Genomic DNA, 16,221 nt, shown 5'->3' with positions numbered 1-16,221 from the left:
CCCTTCAAAATTCCTATGTTGGAATCCCGACCCCTAATACCTTCGAATATAACCATATTTGGTGATAAGTTAAAAGGAGGCCCATATGGTGGGGCCCTAATCAATACAACTGCTCTTCTTATAAGAAGAGGAAGAGAGCTAGGTGCGGTGGCTCACACCTGTAATCCCAGCACTTTGGGAAGCTAAGGCAGGCGGATCACCTGAGGTCAGGAATTTAAGACCAGCCTGCCCAACATGGTGAAATCCCATCTCTACTAAAAATTAAAAAAATTAGCCAGGCGTGGTGGTGCATGCCTGTAGTTCCAGTGACTCAGGAGGCTGAGGCAAGAGAATCCCTCGAACCCAGGAGGCGGAAGTTGCAGTGAGCCAAGATTGTGCCATTGTACTCCAGCCTTGGCTACAAGAGTGAGACTCCATCTCAAAAAAAAAAAAAAAAAAAAAAAAACAGAAACCCAGAAGAAGAAGAAAAAAGAAGAAGGAGAAGGAGAAGAAGAAGAAAAAGAGACACCAGGTATGCACATGCATAAAGGAAAGAACATATGAGGACACAGAAAGAAGGCAGCTATCCACAAACCAGAGAGAGAGGCTCAGAAGAAATCAAATCTGTTGATACCTTGCTCTTAGACTTCCAGCCACCAGAACTGTGAGAAAATAAATTTTTGTTGTTTAAGTCACCCAGTCTGTGGTATTCTGTTATGCAGCCCAAGCAAACTAAGACATTTCTAACAATTTACAACAGCATCTCACGATTCCTTAGATTTAATCTTTAGAATGAATCCATCAGAATCGTTTCCTGAAAAAGAATCCTTGCAGGCTGGGCAGAAATTTGCATTTTAACATGTTTCATGGATGATCATTTTGAAATTCAAGGATAAGAACCTCTAGTTAGTCTGCAGAATAAATTCTACAGGCTTTGCTTGTTTGGTTTGGCTCTTCATTCAATCAACCTACCTTCTCTCATTAATACCCTTCATGTTTTGCAGCTTCCAGCTTTTCAATATCCTATAGGTGCACAGTTATACCACACCATTTTGTTATAATTGTACACTTATTATTCCCTCATTTAGAAATTGGCTTTTTTTCATTCACTATTTCATTATCTCAAGAATCTTCCCCTAAGAATAGGTAAAAGTTAATTTCTACAGTGATGACTCCTTTGTCCCATGGCACCTACCCAGGAATCATTGAACAGTTTCTCTTTAATTCTTCCATAGGACACTGTCTATTTTCTTTATAGTTATGACATTACAGTATAATTATTTATGTACCTATCACTTATTAACTGGAATATGAAACTTTATAACATTGATGTCATATTTTACTTATAAACATATAAACATTTTACTTATAAACATATAAACAGATTAAGTATATAAATAAATACCATTGCTTTACAGCAATAGCAGCAGAAAGTTCAAAATGCTATTTGAAAAAATCAACAAATTTGGTGAAATAAACTATCACATAAAGACACTATTCCCTTCCTGTCTACCTCTTATCTTTATTTCCCTATCTCAAAAATCTTAACATCACTGTCACTGGTATGATTTGAACTGAAGCAGAACTTCAGTTACCAAAAGTCAATGTTTATACTTAACATTCCACCTGCTTTAATTAGACAAGAGCAAGACTCTTGTGTTCATTAGTGTTCACTAACTTTTAGTCAAAAGTCAGTCCTCAGCAAGAAAAAGCCATTCTCTTTGCACAAAGCATAATAAAGCAGTACACTTTTAAGTATCCAATATCCCTTTTCTGAAAAGAATGGCATACCATTGATCAGGTATAATTTTAGGTGTATTTTAGGTTGTGTGGAAATTATATCCACCTGAAAGTCCACTGTTGACTTCTCAGAAAGCTCAGAGATCAGGATCTTTCACAGAGTAGTCCTTTAAGAATATTCAGTTGTCAAAAGATAGATGTACCTTTGCCAAATAATTATATCTGTGACTTCGCTGAAACTATCTAGCTGCCTAAACTCAAAGGACTTGAGGAAAGTCCTTCCATTGCTCTTCTGCAGTGGTGTGACAGGGCCCACTGAGAAGAAAATGGTGTAAGGATCCACATGGCACTACTGTGACTTTGTGAAAGGGAACACTTTCTTCTTCTGAACTTATCTCTACAAAGTCATTGTGCTTCCTCTTGGGGATCACCTGTTCTGTCTCGATGGGTTTTGATATGCTCCTGGATCAAGTGGGTGGCCTGGGGAGATTCCAAATCTTTCATCTGATTTTCCTTACAATCTCCATCATTATACATTATCCTCATCTTCTATTGGAGAATTTCATTGCATTCATCCCTGGTCATCACTACTGGGTCCACATCCTGGACAATGACACCGTCTCTGACAATGACACTGGGACTCTCAGCCAGGTTGCCCTCCTGAGGATTTCCATCCCACTGGACTCAAACCTGAGGCCAGAGAAGTGTCGTTGCTTCATCCATCCCCAGTGGCATCTCCTTCACTTGAATGTGACCTTCTCAAACATGAGTGAGCCAAACACGGAGCCCTGTGTTGGTGGCTGGGTATACCACCAAAGCTCCTTCCTCTTCACCATTGTGACTGATGTAAAGGGACATGTTTAGATCTTCTGTTTATATGATCAAGATGTTTGGAGTTAACACAAAGAACAGACTTGCTTTATACCCTTAGTCCTCAGATGGTTACTGTTATCAGCTCTTTCTTCATTCCTTCAGCAGGTAGCAGCAATTGCTCACCAACTCTACAATACAGTCAAGCGCATTAGTATTGAGTGAATGAGCCAAACAAACTCAACATGAACCTCCTATTATATCGTCTAATTTAGTGAGAAAGACCTACAGTGTTTAAAGTAATTGAAATACTGTTTGGCAAACATTATGCTAGGTTAGTGTTCTCAATACTCATTGCAAAACTGATATCCACAGCAAGTAACCTCTGAGTACAGAATCCAGGGATCAGTATTTTTGAAGCACTTCAAGCGATTCAATGTGTGGCCAAAAAAAAAGATAGTTATTGTAGTAGTTGAATTATAAACTGCTAAGTGAAGTCAATGGCAAGGCCCTCATGTGGCCTACATGATGAAAAAAAGCCTTCCTGTAAAATTATGGGTTTCTAATATATTTTTTAAATTTAGGTAACTGAAGTTTTTTAAAAAAATTGTGTCCTTATATGTTTTTAATTATAATACCCAAAGAATGTGTATAACAACACAATAAAAGGTGGTCTGAGGGGAAAATGAATAAAGACATGTAGACACACGAATACAGACTGTTGGAAGGCTGGGAATTGAGAGGGAGAGGCAGCTGCATTTGAAAGCCTGAAATAAGTTTAGTTTTAGAATTTGGGCTACTAGAGCGTAGTGTCTATAGATGAATCTAGAGAGGGAGGCAGGACCCGCATAGCTGAGGATTGTGTACATATGTCAGTGTTTGGAGTCAGTTTCCATAAAAGAGCTGAAACTCTTCTCAAGCTCTGCTATGCTGATTTCCTTCTCTTCTAGTGGTACCTGGTATGTGAATCTCAGTGACTAAAATTAATCGGGTGGTAGTGGCACACTCCTGTAATCCCAGCTACTTGGGAGGCTGAGGCAGGAGAATTGCTTGAGCCTGGGAGGTGGAAGTTGCAGTGAGCTGAGATCGCACCACTGCACTCCAGTCTGGGTGACAGAGTGAGACCCAGTCTCAAAAAAAAAAAAAAAAATTAATGATTCAATCCCTACTTAGGGCTGGGTCACTGCTGGGAGGTCTAATATATGGCCATCTTTCAGACAGGTGAGTGTCATTTAACTTTCTTTGGGGCTATTTTTCAGGTGATATATTCATTTCTTTATTTTATAAATATTTAGTAAGCACTAACTGTATACTTTGCACTGTGCTATGTGCTGATCTCTCTTTCTGACTTCAGGAAGCTACAGCTGATTAAGAATACTTGGTGTTTGAATTAGAAATTATAGTTGGATATGATCTGTTCATTGTACTGCATCAACAAGGACAGAAAAAGACATCTAAATAGGATTCAAAGAAGTTTCAAGAAGGGATTTTTAGAGTAGTTTACAGGATTTTACATTTACATATAGAAGTTAGCTCAATACAGGGAGAGGAAAGCGGTTTGAGGCAGAAGGTGCCTTCCTGTTTGAAAGCACAAATTTGTGAAACAGTGTTATTGGCCTTGAAAATATTCTTAGCCACCTAGATCCTGTGAGATAAATCATTACAGACACTTTTAGACTGGCCATATTTTCCTACCTGCAGTGTAAGTGCTTATGTGCAGTGGATAGTCATTATAAAATCTGAGGGTTGTGCAAGCACTGTGGCACTCGCAGGATTGGAAGACATTGCACCTCTAACCTGGATGCTGATCCTGTGGAATAGCTTTAATAGGTAATTTTTGCAAAGTAAGAACCCAGGATGACTTGGCTTAAGGATGAGATATTTAGGGCTTTCTGTGTCCTGGCAGAGCTCCTTCTGGAGGAGGCAGTCAACCATGGCTGTCACTGAAGCATGTCACCCACAAGGACACTGAGAGGAGTTTAGATGCTCAATGCCATCTAATAGTCTCAGTTAAAACTTGTGACCTTTGAGTCTATCTCACTTACATATTACCTGTATATATTTCTGGGTTAGAGAGTTCATTTTCCCCTTGTGTTCAGACTTAGGCCTCTGTGCCATTAATTCAAATAGCAGAATTAATGAATTAATTAAACATTCGAATTTAAAAAGTGAATAAATAAGGTTTCTCAGGTCATAGGTCCAAGTTAATATCCATTAACAGTAAAAAGATGGGCAGAGGGGGCCAAGATGGCCTATTAGAAGCAGCTGCAGTTGGTGGCGCCCACCAAGAAGAGCAAAAATGGTGAGTGGATCCTGTGCCTTCAACTGAGGTATCCAGGTTCTCTCATTGGGACTGACTAGGCGGTTGGCATGATCCACTGAGAGTAAGAAAAAGCAAGATGGAACGAGGGCCCACCCAGGAGTTGCATGGAGTAAGGGGAGCCCCCACTCCCAGCCAAGGGAGGGAGTGAGTGATTGTGGTACCCTGCCTGAGAAACCACGCTCTTTCCACGGATCTGTGCAACCCATGGATCAAGAGATCCCTCGTGAGCCCACACCACCAGGGCCTTGGGACCCAAGCACAGAGCTGTGCAAGCTCTTGGTGGCTGCCCAGGTTGCAGCCAGTGGCAGCAGGACAGAGACTGCCTAAGAAGACAACCATCACTGTGGCTCCAGTCTGCTGTTCTCCCCTGCTGGTGCCAGGAAGACTGGGCAGTTTGGACCAGCAGGAATTCTCCGCAGCATGGAACAGCAGCTGTGGCAGATTGTGGCCAGACCCTCTGGTCCCAAATGATTCCATCCCTCTGATGTACTACATTATCATGTGTGAAATGTCCAGAAAAGTATTATTTCATTATAGCACACACTCAAAGTCCAGAATCTTACCATTTAAATGAGGTTCAAGTGTAAGTGAGACTACTTACATGGAGTTCTCTGGCTTTTATCTTTGTATTTGTTAATCTGTGAAACTGAAGAGACAAGACACTTGTCTCCAAAACACTCAACACACAATAATAATACAAGCATCCAATTACTACTGTAGACATTCCCGTTCAAAATGGAGGAGACGTGAGACACAAGGAGTTCAGAGCAATTATGAAGTGCACTTAGGCAAATATTAGAAGTTCCTTGAATAGGTCTGGAGGCATGAAAAATGAAAGCAATTTGGCTCTCAGCCACAGCCTCGTGCCACTTGGATCCAACATTTTTTTTAAAAGACAGAACATACCTCTAAGTGAATAGTATTCTCAGCTACCTTCCCACCCAGAGCATTTTGAGGACTACACAGCCTTTTTATTTTTGTACTGTCTTTGCCCCTTGCAGTCAAATTGGCAGCATTTTTCTGATAAAGATTTCTTTAAAAAGTTGTGGATGTTCTGTGAATCTCTTTGTGGTTTATCTTATTAGAGAAAATCTACCCCAACAAATATCTTTGAGATAAACTTTTCACCTTGGGCTTCTGCTGAGATGGTGAAGAAACAGTGCACCTAAGTATCCTAGAGCCTCTGTTGTTTGATTGAGGGGCATGTCCTTAATCTTTTTAAAGGCCCTTTGTTTCTCAGTAATACACAGAATCTTTGACCTTTCTGGGACCTTAAGAAATGTTGTACCGGGCAGACCTGGCAAGACGGCCAAATAGGAACAGCTCCGGTCTGCAGCTCCCGGTGAGATCAACATAGAAGGCAGGTGATTTCTGCTTTTCCAACTGAGGTACCCGGCTCGTCTCATTGGGACTGGTTAGACAGTGGGTGTAGCCCATGGAGGGTGAGCCGAAGCAGGGTGGGGCATTGCCTCACCCCAGAAGTGCAAGGGGTCAAGGAACTCCCTCCTCTAGCCAAGGGAGGCCTTGAGGGACTGTGCCATGAGGAACAGTCCCAGCCCAGATACTATGCTTTTCCCATGGTCTTCCCAACCCACAGACCAGGACATTCCCCAGGGTGCCTACACCACCAGAGCCCTGAGTTTCAAGCACAAAACTGGGTGGCCGTTTGGGCAGACACCAAGCTAGCTGCAGGAATTTCTTTTCATATCCCAGTGGTGCCTGGAATGCCAGCAAGACAGCCATTCACTCCCCTGGAAAGGGGGCTGAAGCCAGGGAGCCAAGTGGTCTAGCTCAATGGATCCCACCCCCATAGAGCCCAGCAAGCTAAGATCCACTGGCTTGAAATTCTCCCTGCCAGCACAGCAGTCTGAAGTCGACCTGGGAACTAAGCTTGAGCTTAGTGCGGGGAGGGGCATCTGCCATTACTGAGGCTTGAGTAGTTGGTTTTCCCCTTACAGTGTAAAAAAGCCACAGCGAAGTTCCAACTGGGCAGAGACCTCCACAGCTCAGCAAAGCCACTATAGCCATACTGCCTCTCTAGATTCCTCCTCTCCAGGCAGGGCATCTCTGAAAAAAAGGCAGCAGCCCCAGTCAGGGGCTTATAGATAAAATTCCCATCTCCCTGGGACAGAGCACCTGGGGGAAGGAGTGGCTGTTGGCGCAGCTTCAGCAGACTTAAACGCCACTGCCTGCAGGCTCTGAAGAGAGCAGCAGATCTCCCAGCACAGTGCACTAGCTCTGCTAAGGGTCAGACTGCCTCCTCAAGTGGGTCCCTGACACCCATGTCTCCTGACTGGGAGACACCTCCCAGCAGGGGCTACAGACACCTCATACAGGAGAGCTCCGCCTGGCATCTGGTATGTGCCCCTCTGGGATGAAGCTTCCAGAGGAAGGAACAGGCAGCAATCTTTGCTGTTCTGCAGCCTCCACTGGTGATACCAGTCAAACAGTGTCTGGAGTGGACCTCCAGCAAACTCCAGCAGACCTGCAGCAGAGGGGCCTGACTGTTAGAAGGAGAACTAACAAACAGAAAAAAATAGCATCAACATCAACAAAAAGGATGTCCATTCAGAAACCAATGCCAAAGATCAAAGGTAGATATACCTATGAAGATGGGGAGAAACCAGCACGAAAAGGCTGAAAATTCCAAAAACCAGAATGCCTCTTCTTCCCCAAAGGATCACAACTCCTCACCAGCAAGGAAACAAAACTGGGTGGAGAATGAGTTTGACAAATTGACAGAAGTAGACTTCAGAATGTGGGTAATAATAAACTCCTCCAAGCTAAAGGAGCATGTTCTAACCCAATGCAAGGAAGCTAAGAACCTTGAAAAAGATTACTGGAACTGCTAACTAGAATAACCAGTTTAGAGAAGAATATAAGTGAGCTGATGGAGTGAAAAACACAGCACGAGAACTTCGTGAAGCATACACAAGTATCAATAGCCAAATCAATCAAACAGAAGAAGGGATATCAGAGATTGAAGATCAACTTAATGAAATAAAGTGTGAAGACAAGATTAGAGAAAAAATAATGAAAAGGAACCAACAAAGCCTCCAAGAAATATGGGACTATGTGAAAAGACCAAACATGCATTTGATTGCTATACCTGAAAGAGAAAAGGAGAATGGAACCAAGTTGGAAAACACTCTTCAGGATATTATCCAGGAGAACTTTACCAACCTAGCAAGGCAGGCCAACATTCAACTTCAGGAAATACAGAGAACACCACAAAGATACTCCTTGAAAAGAGCAACCCCAAGACACACAATTGTCAGATTCACCAAGGTTGAAATGAAGGAAAAAATGTTAATGGCAGCCAGAGAGAAAGGTCGGGTTACCCACGAAGGGAAGCCCATCAGACTAACAGTGGATCTCTCTGCAAAAACCCTGCAAGCCAGAAGACAGTGGGGACCAATATCCAACATTCTTAAGCAAATAATTTTCAACCCAGAATTGCATATCCAGCCAAACTAAGCTTCATAAGTGAAGGAGAAATAAAATCCTTTACAGACAAGCAAATGCTGAGAGATTTTGTCTATGCCAGGCCTATCTTACACGAGCTCCTGAAGGAAGCACTAAACATGGAAAGGGACAACCAGTACCAGCCACTGCAAAAACATGCTAAATTGTAAAGACCATCGATCTATGAAGAAACTGCATCAACTAATGGACAAAATAACCAGCTAACACCATAATGACAGAATCAAATTCATACATAATAATATTAATCTTAAATGTAAATGGGCTAAATGCCCCAATTAAAAGACAGACTGGCAAATTAGATGAAGAGTCAAGACCCATCAGTGTCCTGTATTCAGGAGACCCATCTCACATACTGAGACACACATAGGCTCAAAATAAAGGGATGGAGGAATATTTACCAAGCAAGTGGAAAGAAAGAAAAAAAAAGCAGGGGTTGCAATCCTAGTCTCTGATAAAACAGACTTTAAACTAACACAGATCAAAAGAGACAAAGAAGGGCATTACATAATGGCAAAGGGATCAATGCAACAAGAACAGCTAACTATCCTAAATATATATATGCATCCAGTACAGGAGCACCCAGATTCATAAAGCAAGTTCTTAGAGATCTACAAAGAGACTCAGACTCCCAAAAATAATAGTGGGAGATTTGAACACCCCACTGTCAATATTAGATGGATCAATGAGACAGGAAATTAACAAGAATATTCAGAAATTGAACTCAGCTCTGGACCAAGAAGACCTAATAGACATCTACAGAACTCTTCAGCCAAAATCAACAGAATATACATTCTTCTCAGCACCACATCGCACTTATTCTAAAACTGACTACGTAATTGGAAGTAAAATACTCCTCAGAAAATACAAAAAAACAGAAATCATAACAAACAGTCTCTCAGACCACAGTACAATCAAATTAGAACTCAAGATTAAGAAACTCACTCAAAACCACACAACTACATGGAAACTGAAAAAAAAAAAAAAACTGCTCCTGAATGACTACTGGGTAAATAATGAAATTAAGGCAGAAACAAATAAGTTCTTTGAAACCAATGAGAACAAAGGCACAATGTACCAGAATCTCTGGGACACAACTAAAGCACTCTTTAGAGGGAAATTTATAGCACTAAATGCCCACAAGAGAAAGCAGGAAAAATCTAAAATCGACACCCTAACATCACGGTTGATAAAACTAGAGAAGCAAGAGCCAACAAATTCAAAAGCTAGCAGAAGACAAGAAATAACTAAGATCAGAGCAGAACTGAAGGAGATAGAGACATGAAAAACCCTTCAAAAAAATCAATAAATCCTGGAGCAGGTTTTTAGAAAAGATCACTGAAATAGATAGACTGCTAGCAAGACTAATCAAGAAGAAAGGAGAGAAGAATAAAAGACACAATAAAAAAGTGATAAAAGGAATATCACCAGTGATCCCACAGAAATACAAACTACCATCAGAGAATATTATAAACACCTCTACACAAATAAACTAGAAAATCTAGAAGAAATGGATAAATTCCTGAACAAATATACCCTACCAAGTCTAAACCAGGAAGAAGTCCAATCCCTGAATAGACCAATAACAAGTTCTGAAATTGAGGCAGTAATAGCCTACTAATCAAAAAATGTCCAGGACCAGATGGAGTCACAGCTGAATTCTACTAGAGTTACAAAGAGGAGCTGCTATCATTCCTTCTGAAATTATTCCAAACAATAGAAAAAGAGGGAATCCTCCCTAATTCATTTTATGAGGACAGCATCATCCTGATACCAAGATCTGGCAGAGACACAACAAAAACAACAAAGAAATTTCAGGCCAATATCCCTGATGAACACCTAGATGAAAATCCTCAATAAAATACTGGCCAACTGAATCCAGCAGCACATCAAAAAGCTTATCCACCATGATCAAGTTGGCTTCATCTCTAGGATGCAAGGCTGGTTCAACACGTGCAAATCAATAAACGTAATCCATCACATAAACAGGACCAAAGACAAAAACCGCATGATTATCTCAATAGATGCAGAAAAGGCCTGCAATAAAATTCAACACCATTCCATGCTAAAAAAAAAAAAAAAACTCTCAATAAACTATGTATTGATGGAACATATCTCAAAATAATAAGAGCTATTTCTGACAAACCCACAGCCAATATCATACTGAATGGGCAAAAACTGGAAGCATTCCTTTGAAAACTGGCACAAGAAAAGGATGCCCTCTCTCATCACTCCTATTCAAAATAGTATTGGAAATTCTGGCCAGGGCAATCAGACAAGAGAAGGAAGGGGAGGGGAGGGGAGGGGAGGGGAGGGGAGGGAAGGGAAGGGAAGGGAAGGGAAGGGAAGGGAAGGGAAGGGAAGGGAAGGGAAGGGAAGGGAAGGGAAGGGAAGGGAAGGGAAGGGAAGGGAAGGGAAGGGAAGGGGAGACAAAGAAAGGAAGAAAGAAAGAAAGAAAGAAAGAAAGAAAGAAAGAAAGAAAGAAAGAGAAAGAAAGAAAGAAAGAAAGAAAGAAAGAAAGGAAAGAAAGAAAGAGAGAAAGAGAGAGAGAGAAAGAAAGAAAGAAAAAGAAAAGAAAAAGAAAGAGAAAGAAAGAAAGGAAGGAAGGGAGAAGGGAGGGAGGGAGGGAATCAAATTTTCTCTGTTTGCAGATATCATAATTGTATATTTAGAAAACATCATCATCTCAGCCCAAAATCTCCTTAAGCTGACAAGCAACTTCAGCAAAGTCTCAGGATACAAAATCAATGTGCAAAAATCACAAGCATTCCTATACACTAGTAATAGACAAACAGAGAGCCAAATAATGAATGAACTCCCATTCACAATTGCTAAAAAAGAATTAAATACCTAGTAATACAACTTATAAGGGATGTGAAGGATCTCTTCAAGGAGAACTGCAAACCACTGCTCAGGGAAATAAGAGAGGACAGAAACAAACAGAAAAACATTCCATGCTCATGGATAGGAGGAATCAATATCATAAAAATGGCCATACTACCCAAAGTAATTTATAGATTCAATGCTATCCCAATCAAGCTACCATTAATTTTTTTCACAGAATTAGAAAAAACTACTTTGAATTTCATATGGAACCAAAAAAGAGCCCGCATAGCCAAGACAATCCTAAGCAAAAAGAACAAAGCTGGAAACATCATGCTACCTGACTTCAAACTACACTACAAGGTTACAGTAACAAAAACAGCATGGCACTTGTACCAAAACTGATATACAGACTAATGAGACAGAATAGAGGCCTCAGAAATAACACCACACATGTACAACCATCTGATCTTCGACAAACCTGACAAAAAAGCAATGGGGAAAGGATTTCCTATTTAATAAATCATGCTGGGAAAACTGGCTAGCCATATGTAGCAAACCCAAAACTAGACCCCTTCCTTACACCTAATACAAAAATTAACTCACGATAGATTAAAGACTTAAACATAAGACATAAAACTATAAAAATCCTAGAAGAAAACCTAGGCAATACCATTCAGGACATAGCAATGGGCAAAGTCTTCATGACTAAAACACCAAAAGTAATGACAACAAAAGCCAAAATTGACTAATGGAATCTAATTAAACTAAAGAGCTTCTGCATAGCAAAAGAAACTATCATCAGAGTGAACAGGTAACCTACAAAATGGGAGAAAATTTTTGCAATCTATCCATCTAACAAAGAGCTAATATCCAGAACCTACAAAGAACTTAAATAGGTTTTGAAGAAAAAAAACAAACAGACCAGGCATGGTGGCTCATGCCTGTAATGCCAGCACTTTGGGAGGCCAAGGCAGGTGGATCACCTGATGTCAGGAGTTCAAGACCAGCCTGATCAATATGAAGAAACCCCATCTCTACTAAAAATACAAAATTAGCCAGGCATGGTGGCACATGCCTGTAATCCCAGCTACTCAGGAGGCTGAGGCAGGAGAATCACTTGAACCCAGGAGGCAGAGGTTACAGTGAGCCAAGATCACACCATTGCACTCCAGCCTGGGCAACTAGAGTGAAACTTCATCTCAAAAAAAAAAAAAAAAAATCAGAAAGTGGGCAAAGAATATGAACAGACACTTCTCAAAAGAAGACATTATGCGGCCAATAAACATGAAAAAAGCTCATCATCACTGGTCATTAGAGAAATGCAAATCAAAACCACAATGAGATACCATCTTGTGCCTGTTAGAAAGATGATCATTAAAAAGTCAGGAAACAGCAGGTGCTGGAGAGGATGTGGAGAAATAGGAACACTTTTACACTGTTGGTGGGATGGTAAACTAGTTCAACCATTGTGGAAGTCAGTGTGGCAATTCCTGAAGGATCTAGAACTAGAAATACCATTTGACCCACCCATCTCATTACTGGGTATGTACCCAAAGGATTATAAATCATGCTGCCATAAAGACACATGCACACGTATGTTTATTGTGGCACTATTCACAATAGCAAAGACTTGGAACCAACCCAAATGTCCATGAATCATAGACCAGATTAAGAAAATGTGGCACATATACACCATGGAATACTATGCAGCCATAAAAAATGATGGGTTCATGTCCTTTGTAGGGACATAGATGAAGCTGGAAACCATCATTCTCAGCAAACTATCACAAGGACAAAAAACCAAACACCACATGTTCTCACTCATAGGTGGGAATTGAACAATGAGAACACATGGACACAGGAAGGGGAACATCACACTGGGGTCTGTTGTGGGATGGGGGGAGGGGGGAGGGATAGCATTAGGAGAAATACCTAATGTTAAGTGATGAGTTAATGGGTGCAGCACACCAACATGGAACATGTATACATATGTAACTAACCTGCACGTTGTGCACATGTACCCTAAAACTTAAAGTATAATAATAAAAAAAAATCCTTGTGATTTTTGCACATTGATTTTGTATCCTGAGACTTTGCTGAAGTTGCTTATCAGCTTAAGGAGATTTAGGGCTGAGATGATGGGGTTTTCTAAATATACAATTATGTCATCTGCAAGCAGAGACAATTTGACTTCCTCTCTTCCTATTTAAATATCCTTTATTTCTTTTCTTGTCATGTTGACCTGACCAGAACTTCCAACACTATGTTGAATAGGAGTGGTGAGAGAGGGCATCCTTGTTTTGTGCCAGTTTTCAAAGGAATGCTTCCAGTTTTTGCCCATTCAATATGATATTGGTGAGGGGTTTGTCAAAAATAGCTCTTATTATTTTGAGATATGTTCCATCAATATCTAGTTTATTGAAAGTTTTTTTCATGAAGCAGTGTTGAATTTTATCAAAGGCCTTTTCTGCATCTATTGAGATAATCATGTGGTTTTTGTCATTGTTTTTGTTTATGCAATGGATTACGTTATGATTTGCTTATGTTGAACTAGCCTTGCATCCCAGGGATGAAGCTGACTTGATCATGGTGAATAAACTTTTTGATGTGCTGCTGAATTCAGTTTTCCAGTATTGTATTGAGGATTTTAGCATCGATGTTCATCAGGGATATTGGCCTGAAGTCTTCTTTTTTTGTTGTGTCCCTGCCAGGTTTTCATATCGGGATGATGCTGGCCTCACAAAATTAGTTAGGGAAGAGTCCCACTTTTTCTATCGTTTGGAATAGTTTCAGAAGGAATGGTACCAGCACTTCCTTGTACCTCTGGTAGAATTTGGCTGTGAATCCATCTGGTCCTGGACTTTTTTTGGTTGGTAGGCTATTAATTACTGCCTCAATTTCAGAACTTGTTATTGGTCTATTCAGGGATTCAACTTCTTCCTAGTTTAGTCTTGGGAGAGTGTATGTGTCCAGGAATTTATCCATTTCCTCTAGATTTTCTAGTTTATTTGTGTAGAGGTGTTTACAGTATTCTCTGATGGTGGTTGTCTTTCTGTGAGATCACTGGTGATATTCCCTTTACCATTTTTTATTGTGTCTATTTGATTTTTCTCTTTTTTCTTCTGTATTAGTCTGGCTAATGGTCTATCTATTTTGTTGATCTTTTCAGAAAACCAACTCCTGGATTCATTGATTTTTTTAAAGGGTTTTTCATGTCTCTCTCTCCTTCATTTCTGCTGTGATATTAGTGGGTTTTTTGTTTGTTTGTTTTTTGTCTTCTGTTAGCTTTTGAATTTGTTTCCTCTTACTTCTCTAGTTCTTTTCATTGTGATTTTAGGGTGTCAATTTTAGATCTTTCCTGTTTTCTCTTGTATGCATTTAGTGCTATAAATTTCCCTCTAAAGAGTGCTTTAGTTGTGTCCCAGAGATTCTGGTACTTTGTGCCTTTGTTTTCATTGGTTTCAGAGAACTTATTTGTTTCTGCCTTAATTTTGTTATTTACCCAGTAGTCATTCAGGAGCAGGTTGTTCAGTTTCCTTGTAGTTGTGAGGTTTTGAGTGAGTTTCTTAATCCTGAGTTCTAATTTGATTGCACTGTGGTCTGAGAGACTGTTTGTTATGATTTCTGTTCTTTTGCATTTGCTGAGGAGTGTTTTACTTCCAATTATGTGGTCAATTTTAGAATAAGTGTGATGTGGTGCTGAGAAGAATGTATATTCTGTTAATTTGGGGTGGAGAGTTCTGTAGATGTCTATTAGGTCTGCTTGGTCTAGAGCTGAGTTCAAGTCATGAATATCCTTGTTAATTTTCTGTCTAGTTGATCTAATACTGACAGCAGGGTGTTAAATTCTTCCATTAATGTTGTTTGGGAGTCTAAATCTCTTTGTAGGTCTCTAAGAACTTGCTTTATGAGTCTGGGTGCTCCTGTATTGAGTGAATATATATTTAGGATAGTTAGCTCTTCTTGTTGCATTGATCCCTTTACCATTATGTAATGCTCTTCTTTGTCTTTTTTGATCTTTGCTGGTTTAAAGTCTGTTTTATCAGAGCCTGGGATTGCAACCCCATTTTGTTTGGGTTTTTTTGTTTGTTCATGTGAGATGGGTCTCCTGAATACAGAACACTGATGGGTCTTGACTCTTTATCCAATTTGCCAGTCTGTGTCTTTTAATTGGAACATTTAGCCTTTTTACATTTAAGGTTAATATTGTTATGTGTGAATGTGATCCTGTCATTATGATGCTAGCTGTTTAGTTTGCACATTAGTTGATGCAGTTTCTTAATAGTGTCATTGGTCTTTATATTTTGCTGTGTTTTGGCAGTGCTGGTACCAGTTTTTCTTTTCCATATTTAGTGCTTCCTTCAGGAGCTCTTGTAAGGCAGGCCTAGTGGTGACAAAATTCCTCAGCATTTTCTTGTCTGTAAAGGATTTTATTTCTCCTTTACTTATGAAGCTTAGTTTGGCTGGATATGTAATTCTGGGTTGAAAATTCTTTTTTAAAAAAGAATGTTGCATATTGGCATTCACTCTCTTCTGGCTTATAGGGTTTCTGCAGACAGATCCACTGTTAGCCTGATGGGCTTGCCAATTATTCCAGCACCCTTTGTTGAACAGGGTGTCCTTTCCCAACTTTATGTTTTTATTTGCTTTGTCAAAAATCAGTTGACTGTAAGTATTTGGCTTTATTTCTAGGTTCTCCTTTTTTAGTTTATTTTTTGAGACAGAGTCTTGCTCTGTTGCCCAGGCTGTAGTGCAGTGGCATGATCTCAGCTCACTGCAACCTACACCTCCCAGGATCAAGCAATTCTCCTGCCTCAGCCTCCCAAGTATCTGGAACTACAGGTTTGTGCCACCATGCCCTTTTGTATTTTTAATAGAGACAGGGTTTCACCATGTTGGCCAGGCTGGTCTCAAACTCCTGACCACAAGTAATCCATCCACCTCAGCCTCCCAAAGTGCTGGGATTACAGACATAAGCCACTGCACCCAGCCTATTTCTGGGTTCTCTATTCTGTTCCATTTGTCTATGTGCCAGTACCATGCTGTTTTGGTGACTATGG

This window comes from Homo sapiens, chromosome 11 (assembly GCF_000001405.40).
Source record: "Homo sapiens chromosome 11, GRCh38.p14 Primary Assembly".
Lineage (NCBI taxonomy): Eukaryota > Metazoa > Chordata > Mammalia > Primates > Hominidae > Homo > Homo sapiens.
Note: the sequence above shows the minus strand (reverse complement) of the source record.